The 15680-nt window shown below is 46.8% G+C and overlaps 1 protein-coding gene and 1 long non-coding RNA gene across 6 annotated transcripts in view, besides 2 other annotated features; one reads left to right on the forward strand and one right to left on the reverse strand.

Moving 5' to 3' along the window:
- The window catches only part of ZNF433-AS1 (ZNF433 and ZNF878 antisense RNA 1), a 58659-nt gene extending 51145 nt beyond the window's left edge, over nt 1–7514 (forward strand). For both annotated transcript variants that reach the window (NR_134928.1, NR_134929.1), the window contains one exon: nt 7321–7514. This is a non-coding gene — a long non-coding RNA (ZNF433 and ZNF878 antisense RNA 1). The remainder of the gene's footprint in view (nt 1–7320) is intronic.
- On the reverse strand, nt 4841–14200 carry ZNF878 (zinc finger protein 878). Of its 4 annotated transcripts, none has more exons than XM_047439308.1 (4): nt 14038–14200; nt 7873–7999; nt 7607–7667; nt 4841–6445 (listed from the first exon to the last, which is right to left on the reverse strand). In XM_047439308.1, exons 1-4 carry the CDS (start codon nt 14038–14040, stop codon nt 5044–5046), a joined length of 1593 nt encoding a protein of 530 aa, XP_047295264.1. In that variant the 5' UTR covers nt 14041–14200; the 3' UTR covers nt 4841–5043. The 4 variants fall into 4 exon arrangements, with proteins under 4 accessions (XP_047295264.1, XP_016882685.1, NP_001073873.2 ...); NM_001080404.3 differs by having other exon boundaries at nt 5044–6448; XM_017027196.2 differs by lacking the exon at nt 14038–14200 and having other exon boundaries at nt 4886–6445; nt 7873–8468.
- Nucleotides 13796–13845: a silencer, noted in NCBI's record as "silent region_10140". NCBI's record gives its function as "represses an Ori minimal core promoter by ATAC-STARR-seq in GM12878 lymphoblastoid cells {active_cell/tissue: GM12878}" and the evidence as "EXISTENCE:reporter gene assay evidence [ECO:0000049][PMID:35858748]".
- Nucleotides 14034–14539: an enhancer, noted in NCBI's record as "H3K27ac hESC enhancer chr19:12163610-12164115 (GRCh37/hg19 assembly coordinates)". NCBI's record gives its function as "activates a minimal SCP1, AML or CMV promoter by ChIP-STARR-seq in naive H9 embryonic stem cells {active_cell/tissue: H9 hESC(naive)}" and the evidence as "EXISTENCE:reporter gene assay evidence [ECO:0000049][PMID:30033119]".

A 15680-nucleotide genomic window follows, 5' to 3' on the forward strand; every position in this document is an offset into this window, starting at 1 on the left:
GAGCCGAGATCGCACCACTGCACTCCAATCTGGGGGACAAGAGCGAGACTTCGTCTCAAAAACAAAACAAAAAAAAAAAACTTTCTACTCTGCTTCTTCCCTCTGGTAATGTTCTGCCAGGTACATTAGTACTTCCAGACACTTTTTCCTCCTCCAAAGGTAGCTAAGCAATTGTTATTTCCCTCATGGAAAACTAAGTATAAATGGGAATATAGCTAGACCAATGAGGTCATGCAGAGGCAAAGGAGACTTATGTTGTTTATCAAGTTTTCTTTTCAGTACCTTAATTTTCACTTCTATTTGTTTAATTTTTTATTTTTTTGGAGACAGAGCCTCACTCTGTCATCCAGGCTGGAATGTACTAGCGTGATCTCAGCTCACTGCAACCTCTACCTCCCGGGTTAAAGCAATCCTCTTACCTCAGCCTCCTGAGTAGCCGGGACCACAGGCCCGTGCCACCATGCCTGGCTAATTTTAGTGTTAGTTTGTAGACACAAATTCTCACTATGTTGCCCAGGCTGGTCTTAAACTCCTGGGCTCCAGCAATCTGCCCACTTTGACCTCTCACACAGTGCTGGGATTGATTACAGGCCTGAGCAACCATGCCCGGCCTTCATTTCTACTTTTTGATTATTTTAAAATTTATTTATTTTTCTTTATTTTTAGAGACAAGATCTTCCTACCTAGTCCAGACTGGGGAACAGTGCAGCATTAAACTAATCCTCCTGACTCAGCTTCCTGACAAGCAGTGACCATAGACACATGCCACCACACCTGGATATTTTACAAAATTAACAGTACCTAAATATGGCCGGGCAGGGTGGCTCACTCCTGTAATCCCAGCACTTTGGGAGGCCGAGGCAGGTGGATCACCTGAGGTCAGGAGTTCGAGACCAACCTGGACAACATGGTGAAACCTCGTCTCTACTAAATATACAAAAATTATCTGGGCGTGGTGGCGGGCACCTGTAATCCTAGCTACTCAGGAGGCTGAGGCAGGAGAATCACTTGAACCCGGAAGGCGGAGGTTGCAGTGAGCCAAGATCATGCCACTTCACTCCAGCCTGGGCAACAGAGCAAAACTATGTCTTAAAAAAAAAAAAAAAAAAAAAAAAAAACTGGCCAGGCGCGGTGGCTCACGCCTGTAATCCCAGCACTTTGGGAGGCCAAGGCTGGCAGGTCAGGAGGTCAGGAGTTCGCGACCAGCCTGGCCAACATAGTGAAACCCCGTCTCTACTAAAAGTACAAAAAAATTAGCCAGGCGTGGTGGTGGGGGGCCTGTAATCTCAGCTACTTGGGAGGTTGAGGCAGGAGAATTGCTTTAACCCACGAGACGGAGGTTGCAGTGAGATGAGATTGTGCCATTGCACTCCAGCCTGGGTGACAGAACGAGACTCTGTCTCAAAAAAAAAAAAAAAAAAAAAAACTGGCCAGGCGCGGTGGCTCACGCCTGTAATCCCAGCACTTTGGGAGGCCGAGGCGGGCAGATCACGATGTCGGGAGATGGAGACCATCCTGACTAACACGGTGAAACCCCGTCTCTACTAAAAATACAAAAAATTAGTCAGGCGTGGTGGCGGGCGCCTGTAGTCCCAGCTACTCGGGAGGCTGAGGCAGGAGAATGGCGTGAACCCGGGAGGCGGAGCTTGCAGTGAGCGGAGATGGCGCCACTGCACTCCAGCCTGGGGGACAGAGCAAGACTCCGTCTCAAAAAAAAAAAAAAAAAAAAACAGGCCGGGAGTGGTGGCTCACGCCTGTAATCCCAGCACTTTGGGAGGCCAAGGCAGGCGGATCGCAAGGTCAACAGATCAAGACCACCCTGGCCAACATGGGAAAACCCCGTCTCTACTAAAAATACAAAAATTAGCTAGGTGTGGTGGCGCATGCCTGTAGTCCCAACTACTTAGGAAACTGAGGCAAGAGAATCCCTTGAACCAGGGAGACGGAGGCTGCAGTGAGCCAAGATCACGCCACTGCATTCCAGGCTGGCGACAGAGCAAGAGTCCATCTCAAAAAAATAAATAAATAAAAGTATAAAATTTAGCTAAACATGGGGGCACACGCCTGTAGTCCCAGCTACTCAGAAGGCTGAGGCAGGAGAACTGCTTGAACCCAGGAGGTGGACGTTGCAGTGAGCCGAGATCACGCCACTGCACTCCAACCTGGGTGACAAGAGCGAGACTCTGTCTCAAAAAAAAAAAAAAGAAAGAAATTCCACATACCAAACTAGTCCCAGGAATAAATATGCAATTTATTAAACAAGAAAATAACAGCCTAACACAATAGCCAAAAAAGTTAAAATTTCAGAAATATTTGTTTTCCCATGAAAACTAGATAGCCAGTCATGGTGGCTCATGCCTGTAATTTCAGCACGTTGGGAGGCCAAGGCAGAAGGACTGTTTGAACCCAGGAGTTCTAGAGTACCGTGGACAACATAGGGAGACCAGGTCTCTACAAAAAATTAAGAAATTAGATGGGTGTGGCCGGGCGCGGTGGCTCATGCCTGTAATCCCAGCACTTTGGGAGGCCAAGGTGGGCAGATCGCAAGGTGAGGAGTTTGAGACCAGCCTGGCCAATATGGTGAAACCCCATCTCTACTAAAAATACAAAATTAACCGGGCGTTGTGGCACATGCCTGTAATCCCAGCTGAGATTGTGCCACTGCACTCCAGCCTGGGCGACAGAGCGAGGCTCCGTCTCAAAAAAAAAAAAATATATAGAAAAGAAAAGAAATTAGATGGGTGTGGGCCAGGCGCGGTGGCTCACGCCTGTAATCCCAGCCTTCTGGGAGGCCGAGGCGGGCGGATCACAAGGTCAGGAGATCGAGACCATCCTGGCTAACACGGTGAAACCCCTTCTCTACTAAAAAATACAAAAAATTAGCCGGGTATGGTGGCGGGCGCCTGTAGTCCCAGCTACTCGGGAGGCTGAGGCAGGAGAATGGTGTGAACCCAGGAGGTGGAGCCTGCAGTGAGCCGAGATCGTGCCACTGCATTCCAGCACTCCAGCCTGGGCGACAGAGCAAGACTCTGTCTCAAAAAAAAAAAAAAAAAAAAATTAGATGGGTGTGGTGGCTCACATTTGTAGTCCCAGCTGTTCGGGAGGCTGAGATGGGAGGATCCCATGGGCCTGGGAGACATAGGCTGCAGTGAGCAGTGATCAAGCCACTGCACTCCAGCCTAAGTGACAGATGGAGACTGTCCCAAACAAAACAAACTAAGCAGAAAAACTAAGGATAGCACCTTCGAATTTGTCCCTAAGTTGTCAAAGTCTTGGACCCCCACTGAAGGAATTCCCTGGTACTTAGACACCAGATAAAGCAGAAGTGAAGACTGCACTCTAATTATCCTCCTTTGTTTTAGGTTTCTTCCTGAAGGACTTGTGAAAAGTCACTTCCTCTACTTTTTTTTCTGCTGACCCCCAAATTTTAAACAAAGCTTTTCTTCCCTAAGGAATTGCAAATCAGAAAATCTTTAAACTGTAAGCCCCAGCTTTAAAATATCCCACCCTTTCAAGCATAAACCAATGAGTAATCTCCATGTATTCATTTGTTATTTTGCCTGTAGCATCTACATTCCTAAAACTTACCCCTGCTTCTAAAAATCCCTGCCTGCAATCCAGTGGGGGAGGTCAGGATTTAAGACTTTGGCTGGGCGCAGTGGCTCACGCCTATAATCCCGGCACTTTCGGAGGCTGAGGCGGGCGGATCACAAGGTCAGGAGATCAAGACCATCCTGGCTAACATGGTGAAACCCCATCTCTACTAAAAATACAAAAAAAAAAAAAAAGACTTTATGCCTGTGTGGTCCTCCTTGATTGGGACTCTGCAATAAAAGGCTTTTTCCACATCACTTCAAACCCCAGTGTAAATGCCTGGCTTTCCAGGGCAAGGCAACTGGATCACAGTTCTGTCCTCAACCCCTGGGGCTCTGGTTGCAAGGCTGGAAATAGACAGGCTTTCTCCCACATCTTTCTCACTTTCATGTAGGAAAGAAGTAGTTTCCTTCTTTAAAATCAAAACTGTTTTATCCTCAGGATATGTACCTGCACGGACATCATAAAGTTAACTTTTCAGAATATGTTTATCAGCCAGGTAGAGTGGCTTACAGCTATAATCCTAGCACTTTTGGAAACTAAGGTGGGAGGATTGCTCATGACTAGGTGTTCACAACCAGCCTGAGCAATGGAATGAGAACCTGTCTCTATGAAAGGAATGAAAAATGAGCTAAGAATGGTGATACCTGTCTGTAGTCATAGCTACTCAGAAGGCTAAGGCAAGAGGATCATTTGAGCCCAAGAGTTCAAGGCTGCAGGGAACTGTGATTGCACCACTGCACTTCAACCTGGGTGACAGAGGGACACCCTGTCTCCCAAAACACACACACACACACACACACACACACAAATACATATATACATCTATGTATGTATGTAAATATCCTATATATTTTCCTTATGCATTTTAAATATAGTTATATGTTAAAATATACATGCATATTTATATACAAAATATAAATATGTATATTTCATCTTATTTATTTATTTATTTATTTATTTTTGAGATGGAGTTTCACTCTTGTTGCCCAGGCTGGAGTGCAATGGCACAATCTCGGCTTACTGCAACCTCTGCCTCCCGGGTTCAAGCGATTCTCCTGCCTCAGCCTCCCAAGTAGCTGGGATTACAGGTGCCTGCCACCACACCTGGCTAATTTTGTATTTTTAGTAGAGATGGGGTTTCTCTATGTCGATCAGGCTGGTCTCGAACTCCCAACCTCAGGTGATCTCCCTGCCTCCACCTCCCAAAGTGCTGGGATTACAGGCATGAGCCACTGTGCCTGGCCTATTTTATTTTATTATGTAATAGAGATAACGTCTCACCATATTGCCCAAGCTGGTCTCAACCTCTTCAGCTTAAGCAATCCTCCTGCCTTGGCTTCCCAAAATGCTGAGATTACAGGTGTCTCTGCAGTGAATCCTTCCGTGCATTTGAAGTTCTGAGTCCCATCTAAGGACTTTACCATATTGCTTACATCCATAGAGTTTCTAGCCAGCGTGAGTCCTTACATGCTTTTGAAGGATTGAGGCAGATCTAAAGGCTTTACCACATTGCTTACACTCATAGGGTTTCTCTCCAGTATGAATCCTTTCATGGTAGAGAAAAGAGTTGGAAGAAATGAAGGCTTTCCCACACTGTTTACATTTATAGGGTTTCTCTCCAGTGTGAGTCCTTTTATGATAGCGAATAGAATTAGAAGAAATGAAGGCTTTTCCACATTGCTTACACTCATAGGGTTTCTCTCCTGTGTGAGTCCTTTCATGCATTTTAAGTTGTGAGGCAACTCTAAAGACTTTACCACATTGCTTACATCCATAGGGTTTCTCTCCTGTGTGAGTTCGTATGTGCTTTTGAAGGACTGAGGCAGATCTGAAGGCTTTCCCACATTGCTTACACTCATAGGGTTTCTCTCCAGTGTGAGTCCTTTCATGATAGTGAAAGGAATTGGAAGAAGTGAAGGTTTTCCCACATTGTTTACATTCAAAGGGTTTCTCTCCAGTGTGTGTCCTTTCATGTATTCGAAGATCCTTGACAAAACTGAAGGCTTTCACACATTTTTTACATTCATAAGGTTTCTCTCCAGTGTGAGTCTTTTCATGATAGCGAAAGGAAGTGGAAGAAATAAATCCCTTACCACATAGCTTACACTCATAGGGTTTCTCTCCAGTGTGTTTTCTTTCATGTACTCGCAGGTACTTGACAGATCTGAAGGCTTTCCTACATTGTGTACACTCATAGGGTTTCTCTCCACTGTGAGTCCTTTCATGATATTGAAAGGAACTGGGACAATTGAAGGCTTTATCACATTGCTTGCATTTATAGCGTTTCTCTCCAGTGTGACTTTTCTCGTGTCTTTTTAACGAACTGGGAGAAAAAAAGGCTTTCCCACATATGTTACATTTATGAGGTCTCTCTCCAGTGTGCATTCTCATGTGTGTCTGAAAGCTTACAAGATAAGATAATGCTTTCCCACACTGCTTACATTCATAGGGTTTTTTTGCAGAGTGGATTCTTTCATGTCTACGAACAGAACTGGGAAAACTGAATGCTTTCCCACACTGCTTACATTCATAGGGTTTTTTTGCAGAGTGGATTCTTTCATGTCTACGAACAGAACTGGGAAACCTGAATGCTTTCCCACATTCCTTACATTCATAAGGCTTTTCCCCAGTGTGAGTTCTTCCATGTATTGCAAGGCTACTGGAATAACTAAAGGCTCTGAGGTGCCTATTAAGGGATGAAAGACCTATGCCGATTTCTCCACACACACTGCTTTCATATGATTGTACTCCAGGAGTTTTCTTCTTCAGTGTGTCATCTGGAACCTGTGTCAAAACTTCTCCATGCTGATGACTTTCTTTACTTTCAGAGAGTCTCTCCCCTATAAGTCTTCTGTGAACAATGAAAGCACATTATAATGGGTTTATCACTAATTTTAATTCCTTTGCAAGTATTACACTTGCATTTTTAACAGTGCCCAGCAAAGTGTAGGCTTTCTGTCCTGTCTGAACATGAATGGAACACATGCTATACAAGATGGCCTAGCCAGGCCAGGCATGGTGGCTCACGCCTGTAATCCCAGCACTTTGGGAGGCCGAGGAGGGTGGATCATGAGGTCAGGAGATCGAGACCATCCTGGCTAACATGGTGAAACCCTGTCTCTACTAAAAAATACAAAAAATTAGCCGGGCGTGGTGGCAGGTGCCTGCAGTCCCAGCTACGGGGAGGCTGAGGCAGGAGAATAGTGTGAACCCGGGAGGCAGAGCTTACAGTGAGCCGAGATCACACCGCTGCACTCCAGCCTGGGTGACAGAGCGAGACACTGTCTCAAACAAACAAACAAAGATGGCCCAGCCATATCTCTTATCAAAAAAGATAATATTGATACAGGGATTTTAAATGCTTTATTTATTTATTTATTTATTTATGAGACCAAGTCTCACTCTGTCGTCAGGCTGGAGTGCAGTGGCACCATCCTGGCTCACTGCAACCTCCGCCTCCCAGGTTCAAGCGATTCTCCTGCCTCAGCCTCCCAAGGACTACAGGCACGCACCACCACGCCCAGCTAATTTCTCGTATTTTTAGTAGAGACAGGCTTTCACCATGTTGGCCAGGATGGTCTCAATCTCTTGACCTCATGATCCACCCACCTCAGCCTTCCAAAGTGCTGGGATTACAGGTGTGAGCCACCATGTCCAGCTTTTACATGCTATTTTAAAGTAGACTATTTTATAAATACGGTCTTTGTCTTTTTGTCTGTTTAGTTTTGAGTCAGGGTCTCACCCTGTGGCCCAGGCTGCCCTCCAGTGATGCCATCATGACTCAGTGCAACCTCAAACTCCCAGGTTCAAGCGATCTTCCATCCTGACCTCCAAAAGGGCTGGATTATACACATAAGCCATGTCACACTTTATATGTTTCTAGGGAAGCTTTTCTAAGAATAAATACATTGGAACTAGGTTTGTTTCTTATGCTTGCTTCTTTTTAACCTTTTCTTCCATTCTAAGATTGTATACAGAGACATTGTTTTCTCTTTTAAGTGCCAGTTACCTTAGGTTTCTCCTAGGATTTTGGTGCTCATCTTCAATGTACTGGTTGTTCCATTTTTTTCCTAAAATGCGGACCCAGAAAAATAGTCCTGAATTAGTATAAAATTATTTTAAAAAGTTACTTGATTCTATGTCCATGGCTCATTGCACCTGTGTCTCATTTATTCAAAGTATTCCCTGACCATATTCCAAATCACTCAACAGCACTGATGAGCTAGAAACACCTGTTCTTTAATTCACTGAGGGAAGTAATACTGTCATTCTTACCTATGGAGGTCAGGTTCCTCAAGGTTTCCTGCATCACTTCCCTGTAGAGATTTTTCTGGGAAGGATCCAGCAAAGCCCACTCCTCCTGGGTGAAGTTCACAGCCACATCCTCAAAGGCCACCGAATCCTGAAATATCCCACATGTGGACAGGAGGATGAGTGAGGCTGACAGCACTGGGTTTCTATACCCTATTCCTAGGAAGTTCTCAGGATGCTGTGGTGTGTGGACTCCAAACATTTATTCCATGACTTGGTCATCAGATCCCTTACTCTGTCTACACTCACTTTCTTCCATAAAACAATTTTGATGCTAGAGTTGAACTCTGGATGGGGTAAAGCAACAGCAGAATAGGAAAAATGTGTGTTTCTGGTGAGTCCAGGGAGAAAGTCGTGCTGCCTGGACTGCCCTTAATGTCCGAAGTGTGGATCTGCAGCACCTATCTTAACAAACTCCTTTGAATTTCTGAGCAAAACAAATTTAACGTGAGCAGCCCTAAGCCTGCATATTCTTGAAAACGCCTGTTCACAAAGTTGAACCTTTGTGATGACTAGAAAGTGGGTTTTCTTCTGATTCCAGTAGCAGAAGCCAAAAACAAAAAAACTGGGTTTGGCAAGGGGCTTTATTAATCTAACTGATAAGAGAGTCTGGCCAGGCACGGTGGCTCATGCCTATAAATCTCAGCACTTTGGGAGGTGAAGGCGGGCGGATCGCCTGAGGTCAGGAGTTTGAGACCAACCTGGCCAACATGGCAAAACCCCGTCTCTACTAAAAATAATAAAATTAGCCAGGCATAGTGATGGGCTCCTGTAATTCCAGCTACTTGGGAGACTGAAGCAGGAGAATCACTTGAACCCATGAGGCAGAGGTTGCAGTGAGCCAAAAACGTGCCACCACACTCCAGCCTGGGTGACAGAGCCAGACTCCATCGGTTAAAAAAAAAAAAAAATTCTAATTGATAAGAGAGTCATAACTAACTAAAACAAAAACTCACAAAAAGAAACCTTTCTGGGAAACTGTATGTAGATAGAAAAACCTAAACTGGGCTGGACACAGTGGCTCATGCCTATAATTCCAGCACTTTGGGAGGCCAAGGCGGGCAGATCACCTGATGTCAGCAGTTCAAGACCAGCATGATCAATATGATGAAACCCTGTCTCTACTAATAGATAATCCCAAGTGTTGGTAAACCACAAAAATAAAGACACACACATGAAAGGCTAGATGGTTGATCCATACATACACTCTACTGGCATTATCTTTCAAATTGGAATTTATCCATAATATACAACCCAGTGACTTTTCCCCCAATATGTGAGAAATTTATGTTCCATTTTCATATGGCAAAGAAAACCAACCATGACATTGTCACCAAGGTCAAAAACTAAACTGTAAACCCAAATCCCATTAAGCAGTGAAATGCATAAGTAAACTGGGCAACCCATGACTCAACACAGTGGCATGTTTGCAACAGAATGAGGCAAAAAGTCAGAAACAAACCCTTTTGGTATAACATGAAAGGTACATTAATTGCAATACTAAGTTACTGGAAACTCCAAACAGCCAAAATTCTACTTTGTGATAAAAGAAAATATGGCAGGCCTGGGCTGGGCGCGGTGGCTCATGCCTGTAATCCCAGCACTTTGGGAGGCCGAGGCGGGTGGATCACGAGGTCAGGAGATTGAGACCATCCTGGCTAACACCGTGAAACCGCATCTCTACTAAAAATACATAAAACTAGCCGGTCTTGGTGGCGGGCGCCTATAGTCCCAGCTACTCGGGAGGCTGAGGTAGGAGAATGGCATGAACCCGGGAGGCGGAGCTTGCAGTGAGCCAAGATCGAGCCACTGCACTCCAGCCTGGGCGACTGAACGAGACTCCATCTCAAAAAAAGAAAAAAAAAAAAGAAAAAATATGGCAGGCCTGGCACAGTGGCTCACACCTGTAATCCCAGCACTTTAGGAGGCAGGCACAGATGGATCACCTGAGCTCAGGAGTTCGAGACCAGCCTGGCCAACCAGGTGAAACCACGTCTCTACTAAAAATACGAATATCAGCTGGGCATGGTGGCAGGCGCTTGTAATCCCAGCTACTTGGGGGGCCGAGGCAGCAGAATCACTTGAACCTAGGAGGTAGAGATTACAATGAGCCAAGATCGTGCATTGCACTCCAGCTTGGGCAACAGAGCAAGACTCTGTCTCAAAAAAAAAAAAAAAGAAAAGAAAAAGAAAAGAAAAGAAAGAAAGGCTGGGCGCGGTGCCTCAGCACTTTGGGAAACTGAGGTGGGCAGATCACAAAGTCAGGAGTTTGAGACCAGCCTGGCCAATATAGTGAAACTCCATCTCTACTAAAAATATAAAAATTAGCTGGGTGTGGTGGTATGCACCTGTAGTCCCAGCTACTCGGGAAGCTAAGGCAGGAGAATCGCTTGAACCCAGGAGGCAGATGTTGCAGTGAGCCGAGATCACGCCACTGCACTCCAGCCTGGGCGAGAGGCAGCTCCGTCTCAAAAAAAAAAAAAAAAAGATAATACAGCTACAAAGAATAACAAAAAGAAGGCTGGGTGCGGTGGCTCATGTCTGTAATTCCAGCACTTTGGGAGGTGGATCACCTGAGGTCAGGAGTTCAAGACCAGCTCAGCCAAAGTGGTGAAACCCCATCTCTACTAAAAATACAAAAATTAGCCAGGTGTGGTGGCAGGTGCCTGTAATCCCAGCTACTTGGGAGGCTGAGGAAGGAGAATCGCTTGGACCCAGGAGATAGAAGTTGTAGTGAGCAGAGATGGTGTCACTGCACTCCAGCCTGAGCGACAGAGCGAGACTCCCTCTCAAAAAAAAAAAAAAAAAAAAAGAATAACAGGCCGGGCACAGTGGCTCACACCTGTAATCCCAACACTTTGGGAAGCCAAGGCGGGTGGAGCATGAGGTCAGGAGTTCAAGACCAGCTTGGCCAACCTAGTGAAACCCCATCTCTACTAAAAATACAAAAATTAGCCAGGTGTGGTGGCGCATGCCTGTAATCCCAGCTACTCGGGAGGCTGAGGCAGGAGAATCACTTGAACCTGGGAGGTGGAGGTTGCAGTGAGCTGAACTCACGCCATTGTACTCCAGCTTGGGCAACAAGAGCGAAACTCCATCTCAAAAAAAAAAAGAATAACCAAAAGAATCAAAATTTTGACCACCTTTGTGTGCCATAGTTAGATGACATCAAAGAAACACACCAGAACTGCCCAAGGACTATTCATTTTCCTGGGTGGTGTTCCCAAGTATATTCTTACTGACATGGCATCCAATTTTAAAACATCCAATTTTGGCCGGGTGCGGTGGCTCATGCCTGTAATCCCAGCACTGTGGGAGGCCAAAGCAGGCAGATCACCTGAGATCAGGAGTTTGAGACCAGCCTGGCCAACATGGTGAAACCCTGTCTCTACTAAAAATACAAAAATTAGCCAGGTATGGTGGCATGCACCTGTAGTCCCAGCTACTTGGGAGGCTGAAGCAGGAGAATCGATTGAACCCGGGAGGTGGAGTTTGCAGTGAGCCAAGATTATGCCAGTGCACTCCAGCCTGGGCGACAGAAAGAGACTCCGTCTCAAAAGTAAATAAATAAATAAATAAGAAGCAATTAAACTGAACTGGCTATAGAACACTAAGACCCTTCACAAGCATACTGAAGCCAAATTCAAATCCAATTCACATAAATTTCTAATCTGTGGCCTGAGGAAACAATATCACTAATGACTAATTTATAGGGAAATGAAATTTAGGCTTAACCAGGCACAATAGGTCAATTAATCTCTGATTACATAACCAAAAGTTTCACCTGTACAGAATGTGAAAATAGGTGATTCAAAAATTTAAGCTGCTGGAACTCTAAATTATCTTGAGGTTTAAAGGAATGCCATTCTGGGGTTGAGACACCTCACAGGCAGCGGTAACAGAGCCAGCCAGGGAACCTTCCATTCCCTGATTACAGATTAGCTTTCTTTCTTACCTATATTGTTTTGTAAAATATTTTAAATGACAAGCAAGTCAGGAAAGACCCCTTCCCTCTTAAGGATTGATTTCATTATAGACTAACTTCCCTCTTACTTTTCTTACACAAAGACTTCATGGCCATCACATCTTCTGAAGCTGGAAATGTTAAATTCACTTTTTTAAATAAGAAAAGAAATGAAAACCGGCCGCGCGCGGTGGCTCACGCCTGTAATCCCAGCACTTTGGAAGGCCGAGGTGGGTGGATCACGAGGTCAGGAGATCGAGACCATCCTGGCTAACACGGTGAAACCCCGTCTCTACTAAAAAATACAAAAAAATTAGCCGGGCGCGGTGGCGGGCGCCTGTAGTCCCAGCTACTTGGGAGGCTGAGGCAGGACAATGGCGTGAACCCGGGAGGCGGAGCTTGCAGTGAGCAGAGATCGCGCCACTGCACTCCAGCCTGGGTGACAGAGTGAGACTCCGTCTCAAAAAAAAAAAAAAAAAAAAAAAGAAAAGAAAAGAAATTAAAACCCCTTGCAAAGAAAATTTTAAAGTCCTGGGCCGGGCGCGGTGGCTCACGCCTGTAATCTGATACAGGAGAATCGCTTGAACCGGGGAGGCGGAGGTTGCAGTGAGCCGAGATTGCGCCATTGCACTCCAGTCTCGGCAACAAGAGCGAAACTCCGTCTCAAACAAACAAACAAAAAAACCTGTAACTAAATTGTATAATTAATTTAGTTGTACTAATTAGTTGTATTAAATTAATTGTACAATTAATTTAGTTGTACTAATTGTTGCGATAATTAAATTTCTTTGTTTTTTGCCTATATAAGAAGGAGCTTAACTTTTTTTTTTTGAGACAGTCTCATTCTTTCACCATGGCTGGAGTGCAGTGGGGCATTCCACTGTAATCCCAGCACTTTGGGAGGCCGAGGAGGGTGGATCACGAGGTCAGGAGTTCGAGACCAGCCTGGCCAATATCATGAAACCCCGTCTCTACTAAAAATACAAAAATTGGCCGGGCGCAGTGGCTCACGCCTGTAATCCCAGTACCTTGGGAGGCCGAAGTGGGCGGATCACAAAGTCAGGAGGAGTTCAAGACCAGCCTGGCCAATATGGTGAAACCCGTTTCTACTAAAAATACAAAAATTAGCCGGGCGTGGTGGCTGGCGCCTGTAGTCCCAGCTACTCGGGAGGCTGAGGCAAGAGAATCGCTTGAACCCGGGAGGCGGAGGTTGCAGTGAGCCGAGATGGCGCCACAGCACTTCAGCCTGGGGCGACGGAGCGAGACTCCGTCTCAAAAATATAAAAATCTGGTAAAATAAAAACAGGTCTTTTGGGGAAGGGGGCGGGGACTGGGATGGAATAACGTGGCAGATAACAGCCCTCCTTCCTACAGCCTCCAAATTTTAGACAAAGCTTTACACACTCTCAACCAACTGCCACCTACAGAATCCCTCCACCACCTGTGCCTTCTAACCCCGCTTCCATGTGTCCCGCCTTTCGGCCAAAGGAACTTACACCTTCCCGGCACTGATTCATCATTTTCCTGCAATTCCTGTCTCCCTGAAATGAATAAAACCAAACTGTCAGGAGCTGCCTCGGGATTGCTTACTCCAGACTTCGCGGGGTTGTGTTTCCCTCAGCCGAGGTCTCTCCTATTCGGCTCAGAATAAACTTATTCTACACGATTTGGGTTTTTCCGTTACCAAACCACAAGCCAGGACTGGGAGTTTCTCATTCATTAATCGCTGTTTGCTAAAATAAACTCTCATTTTTTAACAGTGCCTCAGTTTAATTTTTAACTGGAAAAAAAAAGGAACTGGGGACCCCACAGCCCACAGCTCCTCCCACACGAACCCCACACCCGAGGCAGGATCCCCCATGACCCTTCCATGGTCACCGCACAATCTGGGGAGACGCGGGGCTGCGGGCGCGGAGCTGCTCAGAGAGGGAGCCGGGGCCGGGGCCGCAGTCGCCGCGCAGGGACCGGACAGGACGCCCGGGGTCCCGGCTGCCGGCCCAGCTCCACCCAGCGGCCGAGGGGACCGAGGGCCGAGCTGCGCTAGGGGGACTGTGTCTGGAGCCCAGAGTCGCTGCAGGGGGGCCCGGGCCCCGCCACAGCGGGTTCCTCTCGGTTCCACCCAGTCCCTCCTTTCGCCTTGGGACTCCCCAGCACCGCATGCTCACCATTTCCTGGCTTCCAGGTATTCTGGCGTCCTCTCTAAAGGTCCCGTGAACAGTGCAGGTCACAGCGCAGTCGACAGAGCAACAGCAGCTACGGCGGAAGTAACTGGTCCCTCTCGGAGCAAGAAAGCCCCAGACCTTAACTAGCGCGAGCAGCCCTAGGAGTGAAGAGAGCGGGAATGCAACCTCCCCTTCCCTGGAGGACAGTGGCAGGGCCCCGCCCTAGCGCCCCTGATTGGATAGGGGTCTAGACTCCGCCCCCTTCCCTGAGTGACAGCAGAAGCCCCGGGTAACTGGGCGCTGCAGAGCCGAAGCGACTGGTTCTGGCCACACTTTCCAAGGTCAGCTCCCTCCCTCCCTCCCACCTTTACTTCGAATATTTGCCTTCGGCCAAACTTGCTCCGAACTGCTAGAAGGGACACTGTTGTCTTCCTCACTCCGTGGGCCGTCCCTGCCCCTTCATCCTACACGGGACACAAGTGTGCAGGGAATTCCAGATTCAGTGTCCACAAAATGTGAAAGACATTAAAATATTTTGCCCCAAGATATTGCCCTGCCAAAATATATTTCTTTGACAGTTTTGAAATGGCTGCTGCTTGGCCAGCAAACAAAAGGTGGCCTTGCAAAACTGTCTTTTGAGGGGGAAATTTACATTTGTAGAGAATCTCCGTTAATGAAGCACTGCCAGCTCCCCCGTTCTTTTCCTTTCCCTGATCTAAAAGCTATTGAGAGTTTGACACCTTTAAAATCTGAAGAGAGGTAGCACATGGTGACTCATGTCTATAATCCCACCACATTGGCAAACTGAGGCGGAAGGATCCCTTGAAGCAAGGAGTTTGAGGCCAACATCATCAACACAGCGAGATCCCTGTCTTTCTTTCTTTTTTTTTTTTTTTTTTAGACAGTCTCGATCTGTCGCCCAGGCTGGAGCACAGTGGCACGAGATCTTGGCTCACTGCAACCTCCGCCTCCCAGGTTCAAGCGATTCTCCTGCCCCAGCCTCCCAAATAGCTGGGATTACAGACATGCGCCACCACGCCCCGCTAATTTTGTATTTTTAGTAGAGACGGGGTTTCTCCATGTTGGTCAGGCTGGTCTCGAACTCACGACCTCAGGTGATCCGCCCGCCTCGGCCTCCTAAAGTGCTGGGATTACAGGCGTGAGCCACCTCGCCCGCCGATCCCTGTCTTTATTATTTAAAATTTTTTTAAATGGCCGGGCGCTGGCCGGGCGCAGTGGCTCACGCCTGTAATCCCAGCACTTTGGGAGACCGAGGTGGGCGGATCACGAGGTCAGGAGATCGAGACCATCCTGGCTAATACGGTGAAACCCCGTCTCTACTAAAAATACAAAAAAAAAATTAGCCGGGCGTGGTGGTGGGCGCCTGTAGTCCCAGCTACTCGGGAGGCTGAGGCAGGAGAATGGCGAGAACACGGGAGGTGGAGCTTGTAGTGAGCAGAGATCGCACCACTGTACTCCAGCCTGGGCCACAGAGCAAGACTGTGTCTCAAAAAAACAAAACAAAACAAAACAAAAAACCAGTGGCCGGGCGCAGTGAGACCAGGTCTCTACCAAAAAGATAAGTAAATAGATTAGGGCCAGGCATGGTGGCTCATGCCTGTAATCCCAGCACTTTGGGAGGCCGA

The sequence above is a fragment of the Homo sapiens genome, chromosome 19 (genome assembly GCF_000001405.40).
Source record: "Homo sapiens chromosome 19, GRCh38.p14 Primary Assembly".
Lineage (NCBI taxonomy): Eukaryota > Metazoa > Chordata > Mammalia > Primates > Hominidae > Homo > Homo sapiens.

What these genes read in the sequence shown, in the direction of transcription:
- ZNF878 (XM_017027195.2), bottom strand. Translation starts at nt 8,110, where the DNA reads ATGTTTGGAGTCCACACACCACAGCATCCTGAGAACTTCCTAGGAATA. An exon ending in GAGGAACCTGACCTCCATAG is followed by an intron (nt 7,668 to 7,872) that starts GTAAGAATGACA and finishes TCCGCATTTTAG; the next exon opens with GAAAAAAATGGAACAACCAG. An exon ending in AATCCTAGGAGAAACCTAAG is followed by an intron (nt 6,449 to 7,606) that starts GTAACTGGCACT and finishes CATTGTTCACAG; the next exon opens with AAGACTTATAGGGGAGAGAC.